General features: G+C 54.4%; 1 protein-coding gene across 2 annotated transcripts in view, besides 3 other annotated features; it reads left to right on the top strand.

Annotated features, from left to right (window-relative positions):
• The window catches only part of ELL (elongation factor for RNA polymerase II), a 79,408-nt gene that overhangs the window by 18,377 nt on the left and 46,064 nt on the right, over window positions 1-14,967 (top strand). The gene's annotated exons all lie outside the window — the stretch shown is intronic.
• Window positions 2,282-3,268: an enhancer, noted in NCBI's record as "H3K27ac-H3K4me1 hESC enhancer chr19:18611236-18612222 (GRCh37/hg19 assembly coordinates)". NCBI's record gives its function as "activates a minimal SCP1, AML or CMV promoter by ChIP-STARR-seq in naive H9 embryonic stem cells {active_cell/tissue: H9 hESC(naive)}" and the evidence as "EXISTENCE:reporter gene assay evidence [ECO:0000049][PMID:30033119]".
• Window positions 6,989-7,038: an enhancer, noted in NCBI's record as "active region_14323". NCBI's record gives its function as "activates an Ori minimal core promoter by ATAC-STARR-seq in GM12878 lymphoblastoid cells {active_cell/tissue: GM12878}" and the evidence as "EXISTENCE:reporter gene assay evidence [ECO:0000049][PMID:35858748]".
• Window positions 7,774-8,673: an enhancer, noted in NCBI's record as "H3K4me1 hESC enhancer chr19:18605831-18606730 (GRCh37/hg19 assembly coordinates)". NCBI's record gives its function as "activates a minimal SCP1, AML or CMV promoter by ChIP-STARR-seq in primed H9 embryonic stem cells {active_cell/tissue: H9 hESC(primed)}" and the evidence as "EXISTENCE:reporter gene assay evidence [ECO:0000049][PMID:30033119]".

Here is a 14,967-nt window from a genome sequence, read left to right as displayed (position 1 = left end):
CCAGAGTAACAGGTCCCGTCCCTTCCCACCACTGCTCAGACATCTCCTCACAGCCCCTGAGTGCTCAGCAGCCGTGGCTCTGCACGTACCCTGAGCTCTGGGTGTCTGGGGCCACATCAGCTCACTTGGTGAACTGTTACTAGATGAACATGTGGTGGGGCCGGGTGAGGAGGAACGTGTGTCCTGCAATAGCCTGTTCTGTCTGTTCCATCACCTCCAAGAGCCCACATCCTGCCTGGGATTCCCAGTACGGGCAGCTCAGTTCCTCAGAGCCTGGCCAGACGTGCCCCCCACTTGCTGGGGCTCCCTCGCTCCTATGGGTCTGCTTCACTCCCTTGCTGTTCTCCAGCTTTGCCAGTTGCCTTTTCCAGAAATAAGACAGAAAAACTCTGTCACCTTCTTTTCATCCCACTTATCACCCCAGGGTGGGGGTGCTCCCTCCCAGATGCCATAAAGATACCCGCGGCCCTGACTGCTGGGCGGGCGGTGCCACTGGACACTCTCCAGACCACGGATGCTTACAGGGATGTCCCTGCGCTGGGTGCCAGCCTGGCACAGTGCGAGTTCCCTTTTCTTTTTAAGCCAGGTTCCTGTTTTACCACATTAAACCAGCTGTAAAGTGCCACTTTATAAAATAAGCAAGTGATAGGGAGCCACTCTGGCAGGGCCCAGGGAGCCGAGCAGTGCCTCCCAGCCCTGTGCCTGTGTGTGGTGGGTGTGCAGCCACTGGAAGTGCCGAGCTGCCTGCCTGGAGCGCTGGCCTGCCCTGTTAATAACCGAAGCTCTGCTGGGCATTGGCACACCCGGCCAGGTGGCCCCGTGGTTTCCCAAGACAGGGGCTTTTGGATTCCGCATTGATGGCCCAAAACTCCTTCCCTAAGTTGTCTCAGAAGCAAAAACAGGAAGGTCATTGGGTTTCTTTGCAGAACACTAACCCATGCTGCCACCCCGTGTTCCCACTCCTCCTCCTGGCATCTGCAACATGACAAGTGGCAGGTGTCTGGTGTCCGTTGTCATTGGGCCCTCTCTCTCATTTAAACACCGTCTCTTCCTCCTCGGCTTCTTCAGTTGTCATCTCTCAGAGATGGGATTTTGGGAAGTCCCATGTGTGGATTACTGGGACTTTTGTGGTTGGGGATATTTGATCTTTTAGTTATAAACGTCTGCTCCTGATGCGGCTGGTTGCAGGATTTCCCTGGTGGTGGGGGTGCCCGCTGGCAGAATTGACTAAGGTGAGCTCACTGCTGGGTTCTGGCAGCCCTGCCCACTGCGAGGCACAGTCACCACAGGCCTGGCCCTCACCTGGGACACCTCCCTCCCCTCCTGGCCTGCCCACAACTCAGAAGACGTAGTTGGTGCTCTCCACGGATGATGGCTCCAGGGAGCCTTTGTGTACCCACAGCTGTTCCATGGTCCACCCTAGGGTGGTCATGTGTCTCCCTTGCTGTCCTGGAATCCTTCATTCACCTCTGGGTGCTGGACTGGGGGTGTGCGTCCTCAATGGGCTATCTGGCTGTGGTGGTAGGAGCCTCCCGGGTGCTCCTGCCCCGTGGAGCTGTGGGGCACCAGGCAGCTTAGCGTAGAGCACCAGAGCACCTCCCACTTGCTGTAAGCTCCTTGTCCCCATGCCAGGTGCTGCTCATGCCTCTGTGGGACGCACTCCAGCAGCCTCTGGGGGTGACGCCTGGTTCCTGATCGTGTGTCTTCTGACCCCAAACCACCCTCATGAGGCCCCAGGACCTGCCCGCCAGGCCCCAGTGTTTCTTCCTCTTCCTCTTGACTGTGTTCAGGGCCTTCTTTTGGAAAGGGCTGTCCTGGTCACTGGTGCCCATGCTGCCTCCCCTCCTTCCTGCCCACCCGCAGACACGTAGCTGGAGGTTGAGGATGTGGGGGAGATGCTCCCCAAGGATGGACCATTTGTGGGAGAGTCCGAATTTGCCTGGATTGGTGGTTTCAAGTTTCTTTTGCTTTTATGTGATGCCATCACCTCTTGGGCCCCCAGGTGTGTCAGATGGACCAGTGGGAAGTGCCTGGGATTGGGCAGATCCTGTCCTAGTGAATCCTGGCTGTCCTCGTGTGCACTCGTGAGTAGCCGGCCCCTGGCTTGGCCCCCGTCTCATCCGCCTGGCTCTGAGCTGGCTGTGCCGTGGACCAGTGTCTTGCTCCCTTCTGCCAGTGGCCCCTCACTCCAAGGCCCCGGCTGGCCTGGAAGAGCTGCCTTGAAGTGTGAGGCACGTTGGAGGGTCCGCCTCATTGTTGAGGCGTGGGCCCCTCCTCGCCAACAGTGGGCCCATCCCAGGCCCTTTCCCACGTTCTCTCGCTCAGCAGGGTTTTTGATTCCTCTTAATTTGGTGTTGGTGCTGGGCACACACAGTATTGCTCTCATCCGGGTCTGCTTGGTGGCTTCTCATGTGTTTTGCCCACTTGCGTTACTCTCTGTGGTCCATGGCTGTGCTCACCACTGTTTCCCATTGGGTGGTTTGGCGTGGAGTGGGGTTCACTGTGTCACAGGTTGTCTACGTGGCCCCTGGAGGTGTGCTGCTTGCTGCCCACAGGCATAGCTGGCGAGAACAGTGTCGTGGCCCGCTCGTTCTTCTCCTGGGTGTGCGCCCACATGCTTGGGATGGGACGGCATTGCCTCTCCTGCTGTGAGTTTTGGCCCAAGTTCGGTGGTTGGAGGTTGGCCTGCTTCCCTGCAGGTTCTGCTCTGTGGAGTCACAGAGTCAACTCTGTGGAGTTGAATTTGGCGAGCAGCCGCCATGTGTTCACTTTCCTGAGTGTGATCTGTGTGCAAATTGGCTGGTATTTTTTGAAGCACTCAAACTGTATTAGGCTGTTTTTGAGAGTCTTGGGTATGCTTCAGTGTACCTCAGTGACGTATTAAAAAGCTAAAGCAGTGTTTTTGAGTTGAAAAATAGTGAGCTTTGTATGGCCCCTGACAGTTCCCAGAGCTATTTTGCACAATGGTATGTTCCAGCCCAAGACCACCCTCTGCCATGCTGCCCGGGGCCTGGCACAGGGAGAGCTCGCCAAGAGGTTGCAGGGCACCAGTGTTATGCCGACCTTCCCAGGGGACCAGTCGACCTCTCCATCGGCCCCAACACACAGCTGCTTCCTTGAGGGAACCTCCCAGTTCCCGTCTCTCCTTTTGTGAGAATGGACTCTCTGGGAACAAAGCTGTGCCAGGTCCTGCCTGGAGAAAACTGGATTCTGTGTGTAAGATTTCAAATGTCACAAGCAGCCAGTTGATGGAGCGGCTGTGAAGGTGGTAGGAGAAGTGGACCTCTTGAAGGGCACTTGGTACAGCCCAGTGGGGTTCATTTACAAACCCACGATATGCACAGGAAGCCTCATGGTCACACCTGTCTCAGGAGTGAGGAAGGCGGGAACAGGAACGTGGCTGGTGGTCTCACTTTTTTTTTTTTTTTTTTTGAGACGGAGTCTTGCTCTGTCACCCAGGCTGGAGTGCAATGGCACGATCTCAGCTCACTGCAACCTCCGCCTCCCAGGTTCAAGCAATTCTCCTGCCTCAGCCCCCTGAGTAGCTGGGGTTACAGGCACCCGCCACCATGCCCAGATAATTTTTGTATTTTTAGTAGAGATGGCATTTTGCCATGTTGGCCAGGCTGGTCTCAAACTCCTGGCCTCAAGTGATCTGCTCGCCTCGGCTTCCCAAAGTGTTGGGATTACAGGCGTGAGCCACCACACCTGGCCTCGTGTTTTGCTTAAGCACTTAATGGGTTTGCTCTCACCTTGCTAAATATTATTTGGGGTCATTGATGCAGTTTTGAGAAAGGTCACTGAGCATGTTCTGTGGTCAGATGGCTCCCTCGGCCCCGCTCTTCCTCCATTTGTGGGGCCTGTCCCATCAGCCATCCCTGGTGGGTTCTCCTAGAGACCCAGAGAGCCCCCCAGTGTCCTTTCTCCCAGCCCTTGTCCCCTGTGCCCCTCTGTTCCTCTGTCTCGGGAGCAGATGCCGTGAGGTGGTGTGGCTGTGGCTACTCATGCCCTGACTGTGGCCCCTGAAAGGGAGGATGGGGTTATTCCCATTTTACAGATGAGAAAACTGATGAGTTCAGATGTCAAGTCCATCATTCACAGCCACACGGTGGGCTGAGGGACCATCTCCCCAACCCTGGGAAGTCTACAGGGGCCCGAGACCTTGCCCCCTTCCTCGTGGCAGGATTTGTATTTGTGTTTTGTTTTGTTTTAAAGAATGTTGCTTTATTTCCAGCATTTAGAAGCTTACAGGCAGATGCTGGAGGTCACGGGTATGTTAGGGTCCAGTTTGTGCTGTTAATATGTTGTTTCAGCAGCCTTGCAAGTTAGATCATCACCCTGTGTGACAAAGCCCAGAGAGGTTAAGTGTCTTACTGAGGTCACACAGCTTTTAAATGGCAGATCATAAGTTGGAAGTGAATCTTCTGATCTCAGTTCTTGGGCCCCAAGATAGAAGTTTTGCTTTCACTTCCCAGCAGCTGCTGGTGGCCCTTGTGTCATTCCTGTTGAGCCCTCCCATCCCTGCTGGGATGAGTGAAGTGTGCTGCTGGGATCTCCAGCTAGGAGAGGTCGTTGACACTGCCTCAAGAGCTGCCTCAGCTTTAAGGCTGAGGCCAGGCTTCCCTCCTGGCATCCTGGGCTTGAGAATGAGTGGCCTAGGGTGGCGTGCAGGAGGGAGCCAGCCTTTAGCTTTGTCCCTAGTGCACACATTTGTGTGGGTTTTTGTTGTTGTTGTTGTTTTTTGGAGAAGGAGTCTCGCTCTGTTGCCCAGGCTGGAGTGCAGTGGTGTGATCTCGACTCACTGCAACCTCTGCCTCCTGGTTTCAAGCGATTCTCCTGCCTCAGCCTCCCAAGTAACTGGGACTATAGGCGCCTGCCACCACACCTGGCTAATTTTTGTATTTTTAGTAGAGACAGGGTTTCACCATGTTGTCCAGGCTGGTCTCGAACTCCTGAGCTCAAGCGATCCTCCCGCCTTGGCTTCCCAAGTGCCACAGGCATGAGCCACCACACCCAGCTTTCTGTGTTCTTAACCCAGCCTGTCTACCCATCCGGGGGCAGCAATGTCCTGAGAGGCCAGCCCAGCTGCTGGTCATTGGGGAGGGTCTCACAGGGTCCCTGAAGCTAAACCGGACCTTCTGTCCTGGTCGTGACACTGCCGATTCTGTTTTCCCAGAATCATAGAAATCCAGGAGTTTGGATGGTACTGTGCAGTCTCACACCGTTGAGTGCAGCTGCCTGGCATCAGAAAGACAGTTTTGTTTTCCCTTCCTAACTGAATAGACCTCCTGGTTGTCTTCTAGCTGAGGCGACTGCCCTAGGGTCCCGTCAGGTCCTGCTACTATGAAGCCCTTCTCGAAATCTAATTTTAGGTCAGAAATAGTTTTAGTGATCCGGGTTGGCTCTGGCCAATACTGAGCAAAGTTGAGTGGAAGGTAGAGTTCCTATATACTTCTCCCCGCCTCCCCGCACCTGCAGCCTCCCCCATTCTCAGTGTCCCATCCACCCCACAGAGTGGCACATTTGTTTCCAATGGATGAGCCTGCACTGACATTTTTTTTTTTTTGAGACCAAGTTTCGCTCTTGTTGCCCAGGATGGAGTGCAATGGTGCAATCTCGGCTCATCCAACCTCCACCTCCTGGGTTCAAGTGATTCTCCTGCCTCAGCATCCCTAGTGGCTGGGATTACAGGCATGAGCCACCACACCCGGCTAATTTTGTATTTTTAGTAGAGACAGGGTTTCTCCAAGTTGGTCAGGCTGGTCTCGAACTCCCGACCTCAGGCGATCTGCTCTCCTCAGCCTCCCAAAGTGCTGGAATTACAGGCATGAGCCATCACATCTGGCTGACATCTTTTTTTTTTTTTTTTTTTTTTTTTGAGATGAGATCTCACTCTTTTGCCTAGGCTGGAGTCAGTAGCATAACCATAGCTCACTGCAGCCTTGATCTCCTAGGCTTAGGTGATCCTCCCACCCCAGCCTCCCGGGTAGCTGGGACCACAGGTGTATGCCACCATGCCCAGCTAATTTAAAAAAAATTTTTTTAGACAGTCTTGCTGTGTTGCTCAGGCTGGTCTGAAACTCTGGGCTCAAGTGATCTTCCCACCCAGGCCTCCTAAAGTGCTGGGATTACAGGTGTGAGCCACCACACCCAGCCTGACGTCTTTATCATCTGGAGCCCTGAGTTTCCACTGGGACACACTCTTGGTGCTGTACATTCTGTGGGTTTAGACAAATGTATAATGACATGTCCACCATGGTAGTGCCACACAGTCATGTCACTGCCCCAAAAATCCTCCAAGCTCTACCTACTCATCCCCTTCCTCCCCTCTGCCCGCTGGCATCCACCGATGCTCTTACTGTCTCCATAGTTTTGTTTTTCTCCAGCGTGTTCTGTAGTTGGAACTGTGCAGTGTGCAGCCTTTCTAGACTGGCTGATTTAGTCGTATGCTTTTAAGGCCCCTTCATGTCTTTGCATGGTTTCCTAGCTCATTTCTTGTTATATCCTGTTGTCTGGATGTGACATGGTTTATTTATCCATTCATCTACTGAAGGACATCTTGTTTGCTTCTGAGTTTAGGCAATGACAAATAAAGCTGCTGTAATTAGTATTTTTCATGTGGACGCACGTTTCCAGTGCCTCTGGGCAAATACCAAGGCGTGCAATTATTGCATTGGATGGTGAGAGTATGTTAGTTTAGTTTTTCAGGAATCTGTTGAGGCCGCACCATTTTGCATGTCCACCGGCAGTGAATGAGGTTCCTGTTGCCCCATGTCCTCACCAGCACTTGGTGCTGTCTGTTCTGAGTTTTGGGCATTCTAATAAGCATGTGGTGGTATCTCATTGTCATTTCAGACTAGACTTTTCCTTCTGGATTTTTTATATTATTGAAGTGATGTTTGCCCATAGTGGAAGACTTGGTATGACGGGCCACAGCCACAGGTTCCTGTGCTACCCGCCTGGCCTTGGCAAGGACCTCCCCCAGTCCGCACCACCTGAGTGGACAGCAGCAGCCTGGAGCTGGCCCCACCTGCTGGCAGGGGACACTGGGGAAGGGCCTGTGCCTGGACTTGTGCCAAACCCCAACCCTACTCCACGCCTCCAACCCATGATCTCTGTAGCTCCTGCCAAACTATATGTTTCTAATAAGGTAAAAAAAAAAAAAAGTTGTTACCTGCACTTGACCTGGTTTTATTTATTCTCGAGCCCAGGAAGACAGGCTCTGTTACCACAGGAAGTAGAGGAAGCACTCTGGGTGCAGTGTGAGGCTGAGTCTGGTCAGGTCTCTGTCTCCTGAGTCATCCCTCAGGGAGATTTTGAGCTCTTTCCTCACCCAGTGTCTCTGCACAGCAGCCCTTGAGCTCTTCCTGCATGCAGGGGAGTTTTCTGGATGAGGCAGTGGCCCGGCCACCTCTTGGGGCTCACGGGTGGCTCTTTTCACAACCACGCCCACACACTCAGGCATGGCCGTCACAGCTCTGGTATCAAGTTCTAATGTTTGGCCCAGTAGTACTGAAAGGTGCTTTTGTGGGGCGCAGCCATGGCCTCACCTGAGCCTCAGTTTCCCCATCCATAAGGAGGGAGTAACCCCATCTGTCCGGGAGGTTGTGGGGACCGAGTGGAGTGTCGGTGGCACTGTGCCTGCATCTCCACGCCCTCTGCAGTCCCCATATAAACCTCCCACATCACCTCCAAACGCCCACTGTGTGGAGCAGGTAGGGTAGGGGCTCACGGAGGCTAGCCCCTTTCAGGCCCATGTGGCGGGAGCCTGCTCCTCAGCCCTCCACCCTAAGCCTCATAGTCCAAGGTAAGATCAGAAGAGGCCTCAGTGGGCCTGCCCTGGCTGGCGCTGTCCATGTCCAAGTCTCCCCTACAGCCCAGGTCTTGGTCAGTATTGGGAAGCTGAGGCGCGTGGGACCTGCCTGCCTCCCCATCCCTCCACTGCAGTGCATACTGCCCCAGAGTGGCCACTCGTACAGGGGGCAGGGGGACTGGCTTCTGCTCACTCAGCCAGGGCTTGTGGCTCCTCCTCTTCTCCTCAGTGGGGCAGCCACTGCCGCCTGTCACTCTGCCTACCAGCCCTGTCTCCGCAGGCTCTCGGCCCTCCTCCTTCAGCTGCAGTGGGAGCTGGGCACCCTCATGCGGGGCGCTGCTTCCAAGAAGCCTTTAGGGTCCTCCTGACGCCTGAAGCAAGGAAGTTGCAAGCTGTGCTACTCAGGGCAGCTGGGTGGGTGTTGTGCCCTCCCTGATGGGGATGCGAGTGAGTGGGTGGGAATGGTGGGGCCCACCAACTCCTGCTTGGGCTTTTTGCTGCTGTTGCCAGTTCCTCTCCACACCCCAGCAGCCCAGGGTGCTGGTGATGTGCACGTGGGGCCAGGCCCTCCCCCAGATGCTCCCGAGCCTTGTCATGCCAGACACTGACCCTCCCCACTCCTCCACAGACCACCCCACAAGGCCTGCAGTCTCCTGGGGTCAGCTCGCCTCCTGCACTTCTGCTCTCGGCTCTCGGCTCAGTGGTCCCTAACCCTTGGCAGTTAGAACAGCCCTGCCAGGGGTCCCTGTGTCACTCTAGTTTTTGTCTACTCCAACATTTGTGCCCAGGGGCTCTGAATGGGCAGGGCCACATCTGTCTCCTTGGCTGATGAGTTCCCAGGGCCTAACATGTTATAGCCCACACCTTGATTGAGTTAGCGCCAGCCATATGCCCTGGACTTCTGCCTTGCTGTCTTTTTCAACTCTCAAATCCTGGGCACATGGTGGTTCTGAGATCACATCTGCCTAGAGGTACAGGGTAGAGTTGTCCAGATGCCACCCGGCTAGGGAAGTGGAGGAAGGTGAGGCTCCAGCTCAGGTACGGGTGGGGCCTCCCAAGCTCTGAAGGCAGAGACAGGAAGATGCCCCACCTGGTCAGAGCCCAGAAGGCTGGACAGTGGGGTCTGTCATCAGCACAGGTGGGGAGGGGGAGGGGAGGGCAGAGAGTGGGAATCAGAAATTAACTTCTGGCCTGGTGCGGTGGCTCATATGCCTGCAATCCCAGCACTTTGGGAGGCCAAGGTGGGCGGATCACTTGAGGTCAGATTATCGAGACCAGCCTGGCCAACACGGCAAAACCCTGTCTCTACTAAAAGTACAAAAATTAGTCAGGTGTGGTGGCAGGCATCCGTAATCCCAGCTACTTGGGAGGCTGTGACAGAATTGCTTGAACCTGGGAGGAGGAGGCTGCAGTGAGCAGAGATCGCGCCACTGCATTCCCATCTGGGTGACAGAGCAAGACTCCGTCTCAAAAAAAAAAACAAAAAAACAAAAAAGAAACTAACTTTCTTCCTTTCCTTCCTACGTGGGCTGGGAGCTGATGCTGTCATGGCTGGCACCGTCTACATCCAAATCTCTCCTTTTTCTCTCTCTCTCTTTGACCCTCCCCTTCCCTTCCCCTCCCCTTCCCCTCCCCTCTTTTTAAAATTTTTTTCGTGGCAGGGTCTTGCTCTGTTGCCTAGGCTGGAGTGGAGTAGCTTGATCACAGCTCACTATAACCTTGAACTCCTGGGCTCAAACGATCCTCCTACCTCAGTCTCCAAACAGAAACTTTTTTTTGTGGCGATTCACTCTGGGCAGTGGAGAGGAGGAGTGAGGTTGGAATAAGGGAGAAAGACCTGGAGATATCTTGGGGGCCTCTGGTCTGTGTGGACCTGCCTGTCCTTGGATGGATTTCTGGTACTGATTGTTGTTTCTGTCTACCTGCTTGGGACAAGAGGCCATGAACTCACTTTACTGTGCCCTCGTAGGTTAGATCACCTTTCAATTGTCTTCAGGATTGTCCCCACTGGTGGACATCTGTGTGTGCAGACAAGAGAGCAAAGAGCTATGAGGAGTGGTCAGTGACCCAGCAGGCCTTTCCCGGGCCATGAGAAAGGGATGGGGTTGCTGGTGGGCCTGTAGGCCACTTTCTTCCCTAGCCCCTGTTAGGGAGCTGGGCACTTCTGGGGCAGGGCCTGAGGCAGGGCCAACTGAGCCTTGGGAGTCCAGGTGGAGACAGCTGGACACACGCCTCCCTTCCAGGCGTCTGTGGAGTGTGGGGCCGTCTGGCTGCAGTCGTTCTGCGTGCCTTGCCTGTCGGGTTGCCGGTATGGGTCAGAGGTTGAGAGTACACCATGTTCATGTCACTCTCTCCTCCCAAGTGCGGCAGCTCACTCCCAGTTCAGGGTCTCTGTTTTCCACCCAAGTTGGAGCACCAGGCCCTGCATTTGGGGAGCCAGCCCTCCCTGCCCTGGCCAGCAGTGACAGCACAGCCCTGGCTTCAGAGGGGCCAGATGCATTGTTATGCTGCCCAGGGCCCAGGGCAAGCCCCTCAGGGCCGCAGCACAGAGCCCATCTTTTCTGGAAGGTGTGGGCACAGCTTCCCCCTGGCCTGGTGGGCCACTGTGGTGACAGCGGCCCTTCTTTTCACCAGGGTTTCTGAATTGCCCTGATGGGATCCCCAGCCCCATTCCTTTATTATCTCAGACAAATCCCTGGACTTGTAGAAGTGGCTTGTCTCCATGGGATAAGCTCCATCTTTCCTTCTCGGTCACCCTTGTGGTCTGGTCTCGGAGGGGAAGATGAAGGCAGCCTGCTCTTCCCTCTGCTTGTCACTGTTGGCTTTAGAAGCCACCTGGGGATTAGGAGCAGCAGGTGACAAGGTCATGGTTTTTCATTTGGAGAGTGGGAAGCAAATGAAATGGCTTTTCATTTGGAGGGGAGGAATCATGAGAGGAGTGGGGGAATGAACTTGTCCTAGCTTTTCCTGGTGTCATCGCAGCCTGGCCAGTGGGACTTCACGGCCCCATTTTTCCAGAAGAGAAAACTGAGGCTCAGAGAGGCTCACTCATCCACCCAAGGCCATGCCGCTTAGAGGGCAGTGGAGCTGGGCCTGGGCCTGGCTGCTGGACTCCAGCCCTGCTTTCTGACTTGAGCTGCCCTCTGCCAGCTTCAGCTTCTGTCACCTCCCCTCCTTGGTAGTTGAGAGGTCTGGGGATGCCTTTGGCAGAGAGGAGGAGAGGGCACACTTGTGTGTCAGGAGAGTTATCAGTCGCTCAAAAGAAATATGTGACCCAGTAACAGATTGACTCTTTTAACACATTAATAATGAGATTGAGTAGCGAGTCTCACTGCCATAATTAGTGGTGAGCTGAAGTGGCATTTCCAGATAGCAGCACAGCCATCGTTGGATGCACTAACAGCACGTCAGAGGCACAGATAGTGCTGATACCACTGTAGCTTATTGCTTATGTTTCAAATGGAAGGAAATGCTACGTTTTAGTTTATGAAAAACAGATATGTTCCTTCATCCCACTCAAATTCAAGGACACCCCTAGGCTGAGCCATGCAGGAATGGCCGTCCTTGCACATAGGGCAGTGGGGAGCTGTCCCGTGCAGGAGACCTCTGTAAGCAGCGTCACCATGACGGATGAGGAAGCTTCCAGGTCACCGAATGTGGCCTCCTCACAGAGGTAGGTAACCCCATGGTGTGGCCAGAACAGGCCGGGTGGAGCCTGGATCCTCTCCTAGTGTCATGGTCTCAGTGGGGGCTCAGAGGAGGTTGGGGAAGAGCCAGGAGCCAGTACAAAAAGCCAGCCTGGGACAATCTGAACATGAAGACTTTAAGGGCAGTGTCGTGCTCCAGGCCATTTGCAAAAGGTAGCCTGTGAGTCTGTATTGGTCAGGGCTCTCAAAACAGAATCTAAAGGGAGTGTGTGTATATGTATATTTAGAGAGAAGAGAGGTAGGTAGGTAAATATAAAGTCATCTTTATTTTATTTATTTTTTAGACTGGGTCTCACACTTTCACCCAGGCTGTACTGCAATCTCAACCTCCCAGGCTCAAGCAATCCTCCTGCCTCAGTCTCCTGCATAGCTGGGACCACAGGTGTGTGCCATCACACCCAGCTAATCTTTTGTTTTTTTTTGTAGAGACAGGGTCTCACTATGTTGCCCAGGCTGGTCTCCAACTCCTGGGCTCAAACGATCCTCCTGCTTTGGCTTCCCAAAGTGCTGGGATTATAGGCATGAGCCCCTGTGCCTGGTCCATCTTTATTTTAATGAATCGGCTTAAGCATTTATGGGGTTGGGGGGACAAGGTCAAAATCTGCAGGGCAGGACGGCAGGCTGGAGACCTAGGTTACAGTGGATGTTGCAGCTCAAGCCTAGAGTCCTTCTGCCAGAGGCCCTCCAGGCCTTCGACTGATTGGACGAGGCCCACCCATACGTTGGAGGGTGATCTGCTTTACTCAAAGTCTACTGATTTTGGCCTGGCAGAGTGACTCACACCTGTAATCCCAGCATTTTATGGGGCTGAGGCAAAAGGATTGCTAAAGCCCAGGAGTTCAAGACCAGCCTGGGCAACACAGTAAGACTCCATCTCTACTAAAAAAAAAAAAAAAAAAAAAAAAAAAAAAAAAAAAAAAAAAATTAGCCAGGTGTGGTGGTGAGCACCTGTAGTCCCAGCTACTTGGGAGGCTGAGGTGGGAGGATTGCTTGAGCCAGGGAGGTCAAGGCTGCAGCGAGCTGTGATCACACCACTGCACTCCAGACTGGGCGACAGAGCAAGACCCTGTCTCAAAGGAAAAAACAAAACAGTCTACTGATTTAAATGTTAATCTCATCTGAAAAATACCTTCATGGCAACATCTAGACTGTTGTTTGGCCAAACAGCTGGATACTGTAGCCTAACCACATTGATGTGTGATGCTAGCCATCCTGCTGCTGGTGGTGAGCATGTGTGAGAATGTCACCTGCTGCCGGTGGTGAGCATGTGTGAGACCGGGGAGAGAGGGGGCTCCTCCCCAGGCCAGTGGAGATAGAACCAGGGTTTTATGGCCACCATAGCCAAACTGCAGATGGCAGGCACTACACCTGGGGCTGCGGGTGTGCAGTGGGTACCTGCTGGGAGATTTGAGGGGAGGAGGGTTGTGGCACGGGGCAGCGCTGTCTGGGCCGTCAGAGCTCACGGCTGATGAGGGTGGGATGCCTTCCGAGGGCCGTGGTCACTGTGTGGCTCTTGGCCGGGAAGATACCATGCATTTGGTCTCAGGAGACACCAAGCAGACCCAAAATCCAGCACACTCTGATGAAGAAAGTGAGGAGGGGTCTATGTTACCCAAAAACATTGAATGTTGAAGAATGGCCAAGAAACTTGCAGATTAGAGGCAGCTGATGAGGGCAGCTGAGTGCAGTGTGCCACTGCCCATGGGCTCCCGCTGCGGGGAGGACAATGTGAGGTCACCACCAAGTCAGGCAATGACCTGGGAGACAGACGGTGGCTTGAAGTGTCATATTAATAATAAATGTGAAGCTGGTCCCTGCTGTGTCGGCCCAGAAGAGTATTTTTACTCTCAGGAAACATGCTGCGTTTAGGGGCACAGTGTGGCAAAGTCTCCAGCCGGCCCTCAAATGGTTCAAGAAGCAAGTGTGTTGCTACATCTAAGTATGTGGATAATAGGCGTGGGTGGGGGGGAGGGGCAGGTGGCAGAAACGTCACAGAATATGGCTGTTCTTTGTACTGTTCTTGCAGGTTTTTTGTAAGTTGAGATTGTTTTAGATTGCGTCCAGGAGAGAAGGCGACAGCAGGGTTCTCTGCTCTCAGACGCAGCTGGCGTGTAAGCAAGGCTGTGTCTCACCTGGCCTGGCTGGCCCCGCGTGCAGGTGGCTGGAGGCTTGAGGGACCAGCACGGGCTCCACAGCGTGGTCAGGGCCAGCTCCATATCTCTGCTCAGTGCGCGTCTGGGCCCTTATTCTGTTGTCCTAGTGCTAGGCCATCAGCCCCAGGGGTCAGCAGAAACAGGAGGGACTGCTCCTCCTGGAACTCCCCTTTAGGTGGGAAGAGACCAACCTCGCACCCCAATCAGTGAGATGCTCACAGCCAGAGGCCGGGGCCCCAGTGAGCCCTCACAGTTGGAAAGCCTCTCTGATGACGCCTTGGGGGAGGTGTTGGCCAGGTGGATCCCAGGAGGATCTAGACTGCAGTAGGCACAGGGGTCACACAGCACTGAGTGTGAGTACCATGAAGGGGCCAGCGTGGGCTGCTGGGGGCTGCAGGGCTAAGCCTGCCGGCCTTATCAGGCAGCTGGGGTGTGCAGGGAGTGATCCAATAGATACTTGGGTAAGATTCCCCTCTGAGGAAACTAGAGAAGGTGCCAGAGCTGGCTGGGAGAGGCTCAGGTCTTGGATGGCAGCAGCCAAGAACCTGGGGCTCTTGACGTCCCAGCAGGAGTGAGTGGTGGTTGGGGGAACCAGGGGCTAACATGAGGGGGATGGGAGCACCCGGGGCGGCCAGCCCGAGGTCTGCCCAGGCCTGCATGACTTTCTCTAAATCTGTCCGCGGTCAAGTGGTTGTCTGACCTGGCTGAACTTCAGCATTCTCTTGAAACTTCTGGAATTGTGCTAGCGTTCCTGGGAGGACGCCCCCTCGCTCACACCTGCACCATGTTCTGACCTAGATCCACAGCACACTTGGCAGAGCTCCTGCTGTCTCCTGCTTTCTGGTGTGTGTCAGCTGCTAGGCAAATACCCAATCCATGTCACCTTGAGCCGAAATTGGGCGCTTTTATTTGAAGGCAGGTGACAAAACGTTCTGTAAAAAGAGCAGCTGAGATTTCAGACTCCAGCTCCCTCCGGCTGTCAGGCAAGGCTCCTCCACACCCCCTGCAGGTGGGATGACGGAAGTCGGTCTGCAGATGCAGGGACCCGCGCCTGCACAGCTTCAGTTCAGGACTCTGGTCAGCCGGTCCAGGACGCATGACCTGCGCCTGTGAAGAGTCAGTTTGTCAGTTTGGAAGGAGAAAAGACACATTCTGACATAGCAGGGTGCCATTGCCTCGTCATTTTGGGAGAGTCCTGTGTTTCAGCTCAAGCCCTGCCACTTACTGAGCTGGTGGCCTTAAGCAAGGCACCTGGCTTCCCTGAGCCTCAGTCTCCTCCTTTGCTTAAAGTTGG

This window comes from Homo sapiens, chromosome 19, assembly GCF_000001405.40.
Source record: "Homo sapiens chromosome 19, GRCh38.p14 Primary Assembly".
Lineage (NCBI taxonomy): Eukaryota > Metazoa > Chordata > Mammalia > Primates > Hominidae > Homo > Homo sapiens.
Note: the sequence above shows the minus strand (reverse complement) of the source record. Positions and strands in the feature narration are given on the sequence as shown.